Source organism: Homo sapiens, chromosome 18 (assembly GCF_000001405.40).
Source record: "Homo sapiens chromosome 18, GRCh38.p14 Primary Assembly".
In the NCBI taxonomy this organism is placed as follows: Eukaryota; Metazoa; Chordata; class Mammalia; order Primates; family Hominidae; genus Homo; species Homo sapiens.
The window spans coordinates 64537621-64553225 of NC_000018.10; the positions used below are offsets into that span (position 1 = coordinate 64537621).

At 32.3% G+C, this 15605-nt stretch overlaps 1 long non-coding RNA gene across 1 annotated transcript; it reads right to left on the reverse strand.

The window, feature by feature from the left end:
- Positions 1-479: 479 nt before the first annotated feature.
- LOC105372166 (uncharacterized) lies at positions 480-1543 on the reverse strand. The gene is made up of 2 exons (XR_935577.2): positions 1268-1543; positions 480-627 (listed from the first exon to the last, which is right to left on the reverse strand). It is a non-coding gene; the product is annotated as an uncharacterized LOC105372166 (long non-coding RNA).
- Between the last annotated feature and the right edge of the window lie 14062 nt (positions 1544-15605).

Consider the following 15605-nt stretch of genomic DNA (forward strand, 5'->3'; position numbering starts at 1 on the left):
GCTTTTAATTATTTTATTTTATATTTTTAATGTTTTAACTTTAAAACTGATTAGTGTGATTTTTGACCTGAACATTTGACTATAGATTATGTATAATTATGTGATTTTAACATTTATTTTCCAAAGAAGAATATTGTAATTTTGTAGTTTTTGATGAAGTCAATAAGTTATTTCCTAATAAGTATCTTCATGTTCTGGGAAGATACTTAAGTCATAAAGCAATGACCTGTAATTGACAATTACATTAATTTTTTCAAAGAAAGTATAATAAAATATATAGTATTCAATAAATTTGAAAACATCAATCTGAATTTTAATCAGCGTTACCCAAATCTAAACCTATTTAAACACAGATAAGATGAGTCAACCAGCCAGTGAATCCTGGGGGCCGAGGGCAACGACAGGATTTGTGCTTGGATTGTTCTTTCAGTAGATTTGATCAAATAGTATTAATGTGATTTGAACTCTGAAATTCCAGCCAGAGCCTAGAAAATCTTTTATTTAATTCCCCTGCTACCTGAAATCACTGAGTTTAACACGCCTCCAGTTCTAATCCATTAACGTTAACAACCTTCAGAGCCATTAGCGATAACAACTTCCTCCATCACAGTTTCTCGTAGTAACCCCCTGTGAAGAATTTATACAAAAAGTAGATCAAGGGAGAATAAACAAATTCACATCTTTTAACACACTGATACTAGCCATGGGGACAAAGTGCGTGGTCAAGGCTTCTGTGTACACACATCAAGCTAAGAATTCAGCAGACTCCATTGCCGCTGTTCCCATGATTTCTTATTTACTTCAGGATGGAAATTCATGTCTTACAGGGCAGGCTAGGTTCATAATGCCACCTTTCTCCCTTCTGGAGTTTACAAACAACTGTCAGACGGACAGAGAGCCAGTGGTGAGGGAGGCTGCAGAGTTGCAGTCATTTGCTGTAAACTCAATTCTTCTTCCTTCCTGCCTGCTTTGTGCTTCCGCAAGAACCAAGTATTTTGAAGATTGCCCCTTCAAATCATGCAAACTTTTAAATGTCTCTTCTCGTCTCACCTGGACATTTGGTTTTGATTTTGCATTTGCAAACTAGGGGTGGATTTAGTATCCCATTCTGGCAGTGGTTTTAGACCTGCTGCTGGGCCTGCATTGCCTTTCCTCTTCTCTCTTTTGTTGGCCTTTGTTCAGGGCATTGCCAGGCAGCAAGGTGGGACTGGGGTGTGGGCAGCAGAGACAAGTGCTGGGATTAAGTGATTTTTCCTTTTTTACTTACTGTTATTTAAACTCTGGATATTCTCTGTCTTAAGTCATATTGAGGGCCTTGCATTTGTGTAGATTTTTTTTTTCTTTATTTTTCTCCATTGTTTTTCAGTTACCTGGAAATTTCCAATTTTTTAAATCATAAAAAAAAAAAGTCATAATTGGAAAGTTCTTTAAGGGGTCTTGTGGTCTAGTCTCCACCCATAGGGTGGTTTGTGAAGTACCACCCCATTCAAGTGCTATGGTGTGTGAACTCGATGAAAAAGTATTCTGTTAGAAGTAAGGCCTGTGTAGAATCCTAACACATTCTAAAACATTCCATGGTAACTAGAACCCCATTACATTGTTTCATCATGCAAGTTGCAATAATTTCAGGACGATATTCCGAAATTTGGGCAAATATAAAAGTTAATTGCTAATGAAAATGCAAGAATTAATTTTATTATTGTTACATTACAGGGAAAGAAAAAGGATTTTATTCATTGGTAGAACTGCAAAGGTGTAATAATTTTAATAAATAAATTTTTTTTTCTGAATTCTTTATTTCTGAACTAGCTGAACAGATTTTTATTTGAGTTTCCCTTAACATAGAGGATAACTAACTTGTAGCAAATACTAACTGAATGGAGTTAAAAGTCAAAATTTCAAGGTTTTTGTTCATATTCAACTACATATTTCCAATGTTTTGTTAGATTATTTTAATGTTATTCATAGTTATCAATATCAATGATTTATAACCTCAACTTCTTTGTATAACAACAAACACTATTGTTACCATAAAGGAGTCCTGATTCAGACCCCAAGAATGGGTTCTTGGATCTCACACAAGAAAATATTCAGGGTGAGTCCACAAAGTAAAGTGAAAGCAAGTTTTTTCGAAAAGTAAAGTAATAAAAGAATGGCTACTACATAGACAGAGCAGCAGTATGGGCTGCTTGTCTGAGTATACTTACAGTTATCTCTTGATTATATGCTAAACAAAGGGTAGATTATTCATGAGTTTTCCAGGAAAGGGGCAGGGATTTTCCCCAACTGAGGTTTCTTCCTCTTTTTAAAATATGTAGGGTAACTTCCTGATGTTGCCATGGCATTTGTAAACTGTCCTTGGCCTGGTGAGAGTGTCTTTTAGCATTCTAATGTATTATAATTAGCATATGATGAACCGTGAGGATGACCAGGAGTCACTTTCATCACCTTCTTGGTTTTGGTGGCCTTTGGCTGGCTTCTTTATGAGTCCTGTATTTTGTGTTGATCTCCAGTCTCATCCTGTGACTAAGAATGCCTAACCTCCTGGGAATGCAGCCTCAGCCTCTTTTTACCTAACCCCTATTCAAGATGGAGTCACTCTGGTTTGAATGCCTCTGACACTATGACCTCATTTTGTTGTTGTTGTTGTCATGGTTCAAGTAATATGTTAGAGTAACTCTTTTTTAAGTGGATTGCATGCACTTTGTGCTTCACTGTGGGTAATTTTGATCCTTCACTCATTTGGTGGTATGGCTGATATGCACTTTGGCACTATTAATTTTCAAATTCTGTGTACTGCACCATGAGGATGATAAAAGCCTAAAGAACTCGGAGCCATACTGCACATGCCTTTAGAGCCATCGGCATGCCATGTTAGTGGCTATACAGTCTGCCAAGCATCCTGATGCTAGCAAAGATCTTAATATTCTTATGGCTGGTGATTTAACATGAGATTGAATAAAAAGGATCACAGCCTCTAACTTTAAGTTCATTATTAAGACACCCTGATCTTCACCACTTTAGAGATTTTTTTTTTGTTGCTAGAGTCACCAGCTTTGTCTTTTCAAATAAAAACTTCTCCCATTTATGTTCTATGACTTCTCCTCTAACTCTCTTCTTTTAAACCCTTGGAAAAAAGTTCTCAATGAATCCATACTTCTTTTTCAACTTATACCAATATTTAAAGAAGCAAATTTCTTTTTAGCTCTTTATACTGATAATTTTAATATATTAGTTACTGGCCTATGAAGCAATACATTATTATTTAGGGAGTCTTGATGTAAGAAGGGTATGAAAACTCAAAATTTCAAGTTTGTCTTGTGAGCTAGATTTTATCATCCATATCCTCGATTGCTGCTGTTTTACAGACCAGCTTTTTTGGCTGTTTGCTTTACTCATCACTGTGGCCCCTTCATAGTCTCAGATTCTTATTGTCTGTTTTCTTTTTTCTGACCTTATGCCTATTGCTTTGCTAACTTGATTCTTGTTATTGGTTTTGCCAGACTCCGTGTCTTTGTTTTGAGATAAAGTTTTAGCTAAGAGTTTGGCGTGATCAAGAAAACCCTATTATCTCTGCATTAGTTCATTCGTTTATTATGACAACTTCATTAATTGAACATGATGTGGTAACTACTGTGGTAGAAACTAAAGGTACAGTCACAATGCTTGCTATGAAGAAACTCTATGGAGTAGAAAAAATGCTAGAATACAGTATGGGAAGTGATATGATTGAAGTGTGGGGTGTCTTGAGAATGCAGAGAAGGCACAGTACAAAGGGAAAAACTAAATCTATCTAGGAGTGGAGTCAAGAGAGCAGTCAGAAAACTGTGCAAAGGAGGTGGCTTCTGATCTAAGTCAAGAAAAATTAGCAGGAGTTCAATCGTAAAGTCCTTTCACCTGTCTACTAACTCTTTACCTTCAACAAATACCTCTAATGTTACAACATCATTTTTTCTCCTTTATGTTTTTCTCCTGTTACCACCCTATTTCACTTTTTCTCATCAGGGCTCACCTTCTTGGAAAAGTCTTTTAGATTTTCTCTATTTTCTTAAAAACTAGACACTCATCAATCATAGCTATCCAGATTCTGCTCCAGCCACTACACAAACACTATTGGTCAATCTTCAGAGGTGACATCCTAATTGCCAAAATCAATAGCAGCTTTTCTCGATTGTCCTATTTGACCCGTCTGTATCGTCTGGCACAGGTTACCACTTCCTTCCTGAAACTCAGCCATTCATTCACTTTTTGCTATCACTTTCTCCTAATTTTCCCCATTTCTGGATGCACATGTTAAGATATTCCTTAGGTAATTTCTCTTTCTCCTCACCCTATGTAAACAACGATAGAAACATACAGCTCTATGGTTCTCTTTGATAAATACATTACATTAGTTAGTAATAGCTAAGTATAAGATTCCTGTTCTATAGAACTGATGACTGGACTTGTGTTTCTCTGGTCTAGATAGCCAGCCTGCAGAGGTGTCATTATTCTGACGCCAGTTGATCTGTGTGTAGTGTTTGTAAGGGGCCTACTTTATGTAAGATTCTAAAGGTAAGAAATGTGTACATAGCTAGTTAACGAATCATATGCCAATAACAACTTAGGATTATTTCCTTTTCTTCTCCTTCCATTAGTATTCTTGAATGCCTTATTAGTTTTGCAAATATAATTTTATTTTGATTTCTATTTCTACTTGTTTGTATGAAATCCATTTGCTTTATTGTTGTTTTCTATTTGCAATATATCTCACAGCAACTGTGAGCTCAATGCCTCTCCGGTCTTCAATCATGCATTTATTCGCTCCTTTCATGTCATTAAGGATGATGTTAAATGGGAATAGGATGATGATCCATCCTAAGAGCACCTCATTAGACACTCCTCCCCAACTGTAGAGTGAGCTATTTGTCCAGTCCCCTTGACCAGCCTTCTCTCACCTATGTTTCCTCAATAGCTACTTTAACTAGGCTGTCATCATTGCTCAATTTCCCAAATTTCCTTTCTTCATTTTTCTCTTTAAAAAATGAGAGCTGTATCTAACCCATTATCAATGGCTCATTGATTTTTATGTTCCTCCTTATTTGTTACCAGGCTTGTATTTTCTCTGCCCTCTTTTCTTCTCTTCCAACACTTAAAACTCTACTCAGTGGTGTTACTAATATGTCTCTGTGTTGCTCTTCGCCAGTGTTCCTTACCGAAATTTCCTATCTTAGATTCTGTTTTCCATTTTTAACTGACTTTTGTTTGTTTGTATATCTTATAAAATAAGTTAAACTGCTGGAAGGTAAAATAAACAAAAGCATGTTGTACGTGCTTTTGAAGTGAGCATTTTATAAATTATGCTTTTTTGAGGTGATGATGGGTGATAATTACAAACGTCTTTCATACAATTTTTCCCCATATTGTTCAGCAGTTGGAAACCCTTTTTTTTTTTTTTAGAAATATTAGTGAGCTGCTGTGACACAGAAGAGATTGGAAAAACTGAGAAGAATCTGCAGCTGTAGGAAACACAGTTTAAGGACTTTGCCTTTGATTATTATCTTGCTGGTAGAACAAATATAGCAGCTGTTGCTAATAATGTACTTGGGTGCTGCAGAAAACATGCTCCAGAAATCAACTCCATTTGCCAAGTTTCAGGACAGACAAAAGTTGCTTTTTTATATTTATTCATTAAAATTTTTATTTTATTTTAAGTGGAATCTTATACAACGTTCATTCTATGTATTTAAATATTATCATTACAAATATATTTTGCTTTTCATGTACTTGGGAATTTTTTTTAAAAGGAATGACTATACATTAAATAAAACAGTAATTACAGAAAATTCCATGGACAGATTTGTAGAAATATCAGAATTCTCCAATATATGAGTTGCGTGTCTCTTAACTTTCTGTGGGAAAAAAAACATATGATTAAGTATTTCTTATAATATAGAGATATAAAGAGAGGAATTAAATCTTATAGCTCTATAAAGATAACATTCAGACATTTTACCTTTCTGTTATTAACAACGTTGTTATATTTTATTTGTACCTGCAAATCAGTGACACCTTTTCTATTTCTCTTCTTGCCTATATTCCCGAATAGTACATAGACTTTATATATCATATTTTATAAATCTTATAACATGTTTTTTCTTTATTAATAAATTCAAAATAATTGTGCAGTACTGTTAACAAATGACATTTTTTTCCTTTGAGTATTGTCTTCAAGTTCTCAACATTTTTTGCTTCCATTTATTTTGTTACTTTTCAAAGTTCCTAAAAGGAAATGTGAGTGTATCTGTGGAAATTTGGAAAATTTAGTCATATTCAGTCTTAATACAATTACCCACACACATGTAATTTCTGTGACCTCCAAATTTGAGTTTTCACAATTTTTTTTTTTTTTAATTTTGAAAACAGGTATCTTCTGGAACTACCTTTCAACTTTATCCTTCTGTACCTGGCTTATCTAACTTAACATGTCTTCCAGGTTTCTTCATGTTGTAACAGATAGAAAGATTTCCTTTTCATGATTACATAACATTTTATTGTATGTATCTGTCATGTTTTCTTTATCCCTCAGTGGACATTTAGATTGCTTTCACATATTGGTTATTGTGAATAATGCTGCAATGAACATGAATGTGCAGATATCTCTTTAAGATACTGATTTCATTTCCTTTAGATATATACCATATAGTGGGATTGCTAGATCATATGGTAGTTTTTTAATTTTAATTTTTAATTTTTGATGGAACCTCCATACTACTTCCATAACGGCTGTGATAATTTACATTAACAACAACTGTGTAAGGGTTCACTTTTATCTCCATGCTTGCCAACATTTATATTTTGTCTTTTTTGATAGAAGCTACTTTAACAGGTGTAAGATAATCTCATTGTGGATATTTTAAAAATTTTAAATAGTTTTACATATTTTGGGGGTACATGTGATATTGATACATGCGTATAATATAGTGATTAAACCAGGGCAATTGGGAGATTCGCCTTTTATGTGTAGGGAACATTCCGATTCCTCTCTTCCAGAAATTTTGCACTACACAATAAATTATTGTTAATTAAAGTTGCCCTACTGTACCATCAAACCTCAGGCTTTATTTCTTCCATCTAACTGTATTTTTGTATGCACTAACTAGCCTTTCTTCTATCCCTGGCCACTACCTTCCCAGCCTCTAGAACTACCCTCTAACTCCATGGGATCCACCTTTTTAGTGCTCACTTATGATTGAGAACATGTGGTGTTTCTCTTTCTGCACCTGGCTTATTTCACTTAACATAATATCTTCCAATCCCATCCATATTGCTGCATATGGCAGGATTTCATTTTTTTAAATGGCTGTGGATATCTACCACATTTTCTTTATCAGTTCACCCATTGATGGATACTTAGGTAGATACTGTCTTGGCTATTGTGAATATAGCTGCAATAAACATAGAAATACAGATATCTCTGCAACATACTGATATCCTTTCTTTTGGATATATAAATCTCTCCTATATATACACATATATCGATATGTATATGTATATCCCATATATACACATATATCCATATGTATATATATCCCATATATATATCCTATATATATAATTCAGCAATTTTGCTGCCAAATATATATATATAGGATACATATATATAGGATACTATATATAGGATACATATATAGGATTATATAGAGGATATATATAGGATATATAGAGGATATATAGAGGATATATAGAGGATATATATATAGGATATATATATAGGATATATATATAGGATATATATATAGGATATATATATAGGATATATATAGGATATATATATAGGATATATATAGGATATATATATAGGGTATATATTTATAGGATATAGGATATATTTATAGGATATATATATAGGATATATATATAGGATATATATAGGATATATAGGATATACATATAGGATATATACATATATATATGGGATATACATATAGGATATATATATGGGATATACATATAGGATATATATATATAGGATATACATATAGGATATATATATAGGATATACATATAGGATATATATATAGGATATACATATAGGATATACATATAGGATATATATATATAGGATATACATATAGGATATATATATGGGAAATACATATAGGATATATATATGGGAAATACATATAGGATTATATATATGGGAAATACATATAGGATTATATATATGGGAAATACATATGGGATTATATATATGGGAAATACATATAGGATATATATATGGGAAATATATATATGGGATATATATGGGATATACACATGGGATATATATGGGATATATATACACATGGGATATGTATATGGGATATATATACATGGGATATGTATATGGGATATATATATGGGATATATGTATATGGGATATATATGGGATATATGTATATGGGATATATATGTGGGATATATATGGGATATATATATGGGATATATATAGGATATATATGATGTATATGGGATATTTATAGGATATATATGATGTATATGGGATATATATAGGATATATATGATATATATGGGATATATGTAGGATATATGGGATATATATATGGGATATATATGGGATGTATATATGGGATATATATATAGGATATATATGGGATATATATGGGATATATATATAGGATATATATGGGATATATATATGGCATATATATGGGATATATATGGGATATATATATGGGATATATATATGGGATATATTTATATAGGATATATATATGGGATATATTTAGGATATATATATGGGATATATATATATGGGATATATTTATATGGGAGATATTTATATGGGAGATATTTATATGGGATATATATAGGATATATATATGGGATATATGTATGCGTGTATATATATGGCTATACATGGCAGCGAAATTGCTGAATCATATATATAGGTTCCTATATATATATCTATCTATATATATATATATCCTCTTTCTCTCTCTCTCTCTCTATATATATATATGGCAGCGAAATTGCTGAATCATGAAATAGTTTTATTTTTAGTGTTTTGAGTACCATCCATACTGTTCCTTGGTGGCTGTACTAATTTACATTCCCACAAACAGTGTATGAGCACTCCCCTTTCTGTACACCCTTGCCAGCATCTTTTAATTTCCGTCTTTTAGGTAAAAGCCATTTTAACTGGGGTGAAAGAATATCTCATTGTAGTTTTGATTTACATTTTCCTGGTGATTAGCAATGCTGAAGTTTATTTTTTCATTAAAAAGTCCATATATATACCTTCTTTTGAGAAATGTCTATTCAGATATTGTGTCCATTTTTATTTTTAACTTTCATTTTAAGTTCAAGGGTACAAGTGCAGGATGTGCTTGTTACACACCTTGTTACATAGGTAAACGTGTGTCATGGGGGTTTGTTGTGCAGATTATTTCATCACTCAGGCATTTTGTTCATCTTTAAATTCAATTATTTGTGGGTGTTTTCTTTTTTTTTTTTGCTATTGAGTTGTTTGAGTACTTTATATATTCTGATTATTAAACTCTTTGGGGATGGAGAGTTTGAAAATGTTTTTCCCCATTCCATTGGTTGTCACTTCACTTTGCTAATAATTTTCTTAGCTGTGTAGAAGCTTTTGAGCTTGATTTAATCCCATGTGTCTGCTTTTGCTTTGGTTGCCCATCTTTTTGAGTCTAACCCAAATAGTCTTTGCCAGACCAATGACCTGAAGTGTTTTCTCAATATTTTATTTTAGTAGTTTCATTGTTTCACATCACACATTAGAGTCTTTAATTCATCAAAATTTGATTTTTGTATATGATTATCCAATATTCTCAGCACCTTTTATTTAAAAAACTGTCCTTTCCCCAGTATATGTTCTAGGCACTATTTTCAAAAATGAATTCGTTGTAAATTTGTGAGTTTCTATTTAGGTTCTCTATTCTGCTCCACGAATCCATGTGTCTGTTTTTATGCCAGTAATATGCTATTTGGGTTGCTATGGCTTTTCAGCATATTTTGAAGTCAAGTAGTGTGATGCCTCCAGCTTTCTTCTTTTTGCTCAAGATTGCTTTGGGTATTTGGGGTATTTTGTGGTTCTGTATGAAGTCTAGGATTTTTGTTCTATTTCTGTGAAGAATGTCATTGGTATTTTGATAGAGATTACATTGAATCTGTAGATAACTTTGGGTAGTTTAAACATTTCAACAATATTAATTCTTCCAGTCATGAGCTGGGATATATTTTCATTTGTTTATGTTCTCTTCAATTTCTTTCTTCACTGTTTTATAGTTTTCCTTGTAAAGATTTTTTACTTCTTTGGTTAAATTTACTCATAGGCATCATTTTTGTAGCTATTGTATTGTGATTACTTTCCTAATTTCTTTTCTAGATTGTTCACTGTTGGCGTATGTAAGTGCTACTGAATTTTATAAGCTCATTTTGCATCCTGTAACTTTGCTGAAGTTCTCTGTAAGTTATAATAGTATTTTAGTGGAGTCTTTAGATTTTTCTAAATATAATATTATGTCATACGCGAAAAAAGGTAATGACTTATTTTCCAATTTGGATGCCCTTTATTTCTGTTGCCTAAATGCTCTGGCTAGAACTTCTAGCACTGTACTGAATAAAAGTGATAAAAATGAAGATGATTTTCTTGTTTTGGATCTTAGAGGAAAGGCTTTAATTTTTCACCGTTCAGCATAATGTTGGCAGTGTGCTTGTCATACATGGTGTTTATTGTTTGAGGTATGTTTTTTCCTCATTTTCTTGAGAATTTTTATCACAAAGGAATGTTGAATTTTGTCAATTTTTTTCAGCACCTATTGAGATGATTATATGGTTTTTGTCCTTCATTCTGCTAATGTGATATACCACATTTACTGATTTGCCTATGTTGAAATATCCTTGCATCCCTGGGATGAATCCCACTTGATCATTATAAATGATCTTTTTATCATGATTTTTTTTTCAGTTTGCTACTATATTGATGAAGATATACATCTATGTTCATCAGGGATATTAGCCTGTAGTTTTTTCTTTTTGTTGTGTTCTTGTGTGTTTTTGGCATCAGTGTAATTCTGGCCTCGTAGAATGAGTATGGAAGAATTTCTTCCTTTTCAAATTTTGGAACAGTTTAGGCAGAATTGTATTAGTTATTCTTTCAATGCTTGACAGAATTTAGCAGTGAAGCCATCTGGTTTTACTTTGATGGGTATTACTGCTTTGATCTCATTACTTATTATTAGTCTGTTTGGGTTTTCTAGTTCTTCATAATTCAATCTTGGTAGGTTCTTTGTGTCCAGTAATTTATCCCATGATAGGTTTTTCCATTTTGGGGTGTATATTTGTTCATAATAGTTTCTAATGACTTTTTTGCATTTCTGTCCTATCTGTTGTCATATCTTTTTTTGTGTGCTTTTTTAATTAAATTTATTTGGGCCTTCTCTTTTTTCTTGGTTATTGTAGGTAAATTTACCAATATTGTTTATCTTTTCAGAAAAAAATCTTTTGTTTCATTGATCTTTTGTATTTTTCTTATTCCTCACTTTATTTCTTATCTGAAATTTATCATTTCTTTCCTTTTTTAAATTTTATTTTCTTACTAATTCTGGGGTGGACTTGTTCTTGCTTTGCTGGTTCTGTCGGGTGCATCACGAGATTTTTTTATTCGAAATCTTTCTACTTTTTTGATGTAGTTGTTTATAGCTGTAAACCTTCCTCTTACTACTGATTTTACCATATGCCATGTATTTTGGTACATTGTATTTTCATTTTCATTTGTTTTAAAGTATTTTTATTTTCAAAATTATTTATTCATTTATTTTTATATTGGAAGGTTTCCCACTAGAAAATTCGCTAGACAGATTCTAAAAGAACTGTAACATTTATTAATATATCTTTACATTTCCATCTTGATTTCTTCATTGACCCATTAATTGTTCAGGAACTTGTTTTTTAATTTCCATGTGTCTGTATGGTTTCAAGTTCTTCTTGTTTTTAATATCTAGTTTTATACCATTGCAGTCATAAAAGATACTTGATATGATTTTGACCTTTTTGAATTTGTTGAAATTTATTTTTTGACCTAACCTATGGTCTATCCTGGAAAATGTTCCATGTTTTGGTAGAAAAAAATGTGTATTCTGTAGCAGTTGGATAAATTGTCTGTAAATGTCAATTAGGTCAATTTGGTATAGATTGTAGTTCATTTCCAATGATTCTTTGTTGACTTTTGTCTGGATGATCTGTCCATTGCGGGAAGTGGGTGGTGACATTTTCTACTATTATTGTATTCCAGTGTATTTCTCCCTTTAGATATATTAATATTTCCTTTATATATTTGCATGCTCCAGTGATGGGAGTATATATATATGTACAGGTTTTATATCCTTTTGTTGAATTGACTCTTTTGTTATGATATAGTGACCTTTGACTCTTTCTTACAGGATGGTGCCTATTGGGTGGAGACCTATCCAAAGCTGTTGGCCAGAACATCTACAGGTAACTTTGTTTCTTCACAACCTGATGTGCTGGGTACAAACACAAGAACCCTGAGATAGAGGTAGTCTGTTGGAAGCTAAATTGTCTTTTAAAAATAATTCTTAGAAGTCATAAAGCCTTTTTTTCTTGTGGAATTCTGCTGTCAATATTGCTAAAACACTGTGAAAGATACACTCGGGTTCAAAGGGAGAAAATAGAGACTCCCTCCTCTTGAAGGACTGTCAATGTAAATGCATGTAAGATGGAATATATATCAGTGCAGTTATTGTTGGAAAATTCCATCTAAATACAAAGTATACAAGTCAACTATATTCCTATATATCAGGAATGAAGAGTTGGAAAATGAATGATTTTTAAAACACCATTTATAATAGCTTAAAAATAACATGACCTGGTTAGATTTAAATTAAAATTGCATGTGTAAAAGCTGTACATTAAAAACTAAATACAATATTGTTGAGGTAAGTAAGAGTGCCTAAATAAATGGGAAGATATATCACAGCCTTGGATTGAAACTCTCAATGTTGGTAAAATCTTAGTTTTATCCAAATAGGTCAACTGACTCAAGGCAGTTCCATTCAAAATGCTAGTAGGGTTTTGTTTGTTGTTGTTTTGGGTTTTTGTTTGTTTGATTTTGTAGACAGAGAGTAAAAAATGACAAACAGAGTCTAAAATGTATATACTAATGCAAAATGTCTGTATCAGTAAAAATAACTAGTGGAAGAAAACTCAGCGAAGTCTGCAAAAGGAATGGCATTAATACTTTCTACATGTCTGCAGGTGATTTTTTTTTAAACGATGGCAAACATTTGCTACATTCATAATCCCCTTGTACATTAAAAAAAAATACAAACACTTGTGATACAATTTTTTTGTGCAGATATATGCTATGTAAATGAGAATGTAAACTTTCATTCCCAATTTGTCCATTTTCATTAATACAGATGGTGCTATATGCAAAATCATTTATATGTTGCCTAGTAAATATGAAATGAATATTTTTATTTTAATTAAAAATCAATTGTATATAGACAAATTAATCCTTTACTTTCTATAAAAATGGTAAAATCTCAGGACAAAATATTATTTGCCAAGAATCATAAGCTAGGCTACCATGACTTTACAATTAGATATTGTTCTAGAAATGGCTTTTTCTGGCTTACTTTAGATTCATATGAGAGACTTGCATTTGCAGTTTTAGATGCTTGATGGAGACAGAAACTTAAATATTCGACTATAAAAATAACAAGGTGATGGATAGAAATTTTTCTAAAATGCTTCTATTAAATGATGGATATATGATGAAGAATAATAAATAAGTATACTTCACAGTCTCAAAACTAGTAGACTAGAAATATGAATCCCCTGTCACCAACTACCCATGTATGCACGACTAAATAAAAGTATTTTATTTATATTTAAATTTATGAAACCATTCTGGGTTTCTGTGATTCTCTCCATTTGAGCTATACGATTTTAAGCTTTTTCTGCCCCCCATAACAGTTATTTCCTTTGATTAGGAACAAAATCAATTAGTCATTTTGGATGTCCTGATGTTAAAAAAAAATCCAAATTTCTGATTTTTAGGAATCAAAAAAATCATAGCTTCTATATTTATTTAAACTGTTATCTAATAATTAGTCTCTGAAATAGCTCAGAAATATTTTTTAGTTACTGTTATAATTTGCTATCTCATTTAATTCGCTTAAAATATTTAAAAGTATATTAACCTTTTAAATTAGTTGTATTATTTTGTGGCACTTTCAACACTAACATTGTTTTTGGATATTAGCTTTTGAATTTCCTGATTTGTGGGTTTAATTTTAACTCTAATTGCTCATAATTATACATATTCCCATTGAATTCATGAAGGTATTTTATTAAATGCTTACTTAAATTGAAAAAATGAACCATACAAAATTGTCTTCTTTTAAGTAAGTACTTTCAAAAATCATTTCATTAGCATATTATAAATGGCACTAGCAAATACAGACTGCATATAGGAACAATAATTTGCTTCCCCATGGATATTTTATGTTGTGACAGAATAGCATAAGAGCTTTACCGAATTTTTTAATTATAGAGATCAAGTTAGATACTATTCTAAATGTTGTGAAATTATTTTGTTTTAATATTGTGAAATTTAGTATCATGTTCCAGGAACAAATAAAGAGAATAATAATTTGAAAGAAAATATTAGTTGTTAATTTTAGAAGAGGGTGAATGGTTGATATCGGGGCAGCTCTGAACTGTCATTGGTGGCTATTAAGCATTTACAAAACATTGGTGACTGCAAAGGTTTTTACATGGATAAACATACTACTCACAAAACCTTACAAAGCATGTATTAGAAATAACTTCAAGTAAAGAGAACTTAGCTAATTTGTCCAGGGTTGAATAGAAGGAAATAGGAATAGGACTTGAACCTCTCCTTGTTTGACTTGTCAAACTGAGCTCAAAACACTAAGCTGTACTCACTGGGGTTGTCAAATTGAAAATATGGTATACATACTACAAATACATATATTTTTAAACTCATCTAATAAACATTTGCTAAAGTCAACTATGTACCATGCATTTATGAAAGATAAATGCTGCATTTTTGTGCATGATGTTTGAAACTAGATTTATTGTTCTAGTGTGCTCTTGCAAATATTTGGATCTATTTGCAAGAAGTTTGTAGTTTTCTCTCACAGCCTTTTTTCCAAAAGCTAGTGGTGAGTGAGTACGGCTTTCCCTGCTTTTCACGTACCCAGGAAACTTGACCTCCGTCATCATTGAAAGCAGGGGTCCTCAACCAGTGAGCTGCAGACTAGTATTGGTCCGTGGCCAGTTAGGAACCAGGCTGCACAGCGGGAGGTGAGCAGCATCCAGTGGTGGAGGGATCATTACCACCTGAGCTCCACCTCCTGTCACATCAGCAGCATCATTAGATTCTCATAGGAGCACAAGCTATTGTGAACTGCGCATACAAGGGATCTAGGTTGCACGCTCCTCACTGGAATCTAACTAATGCTTGATGATCTGATGATCTGAGGTGGAACAGTTTCATGCCCAAACCACCTCCCTCACCCGAAACCCCACCCCTGTGGTGAAAATATTGT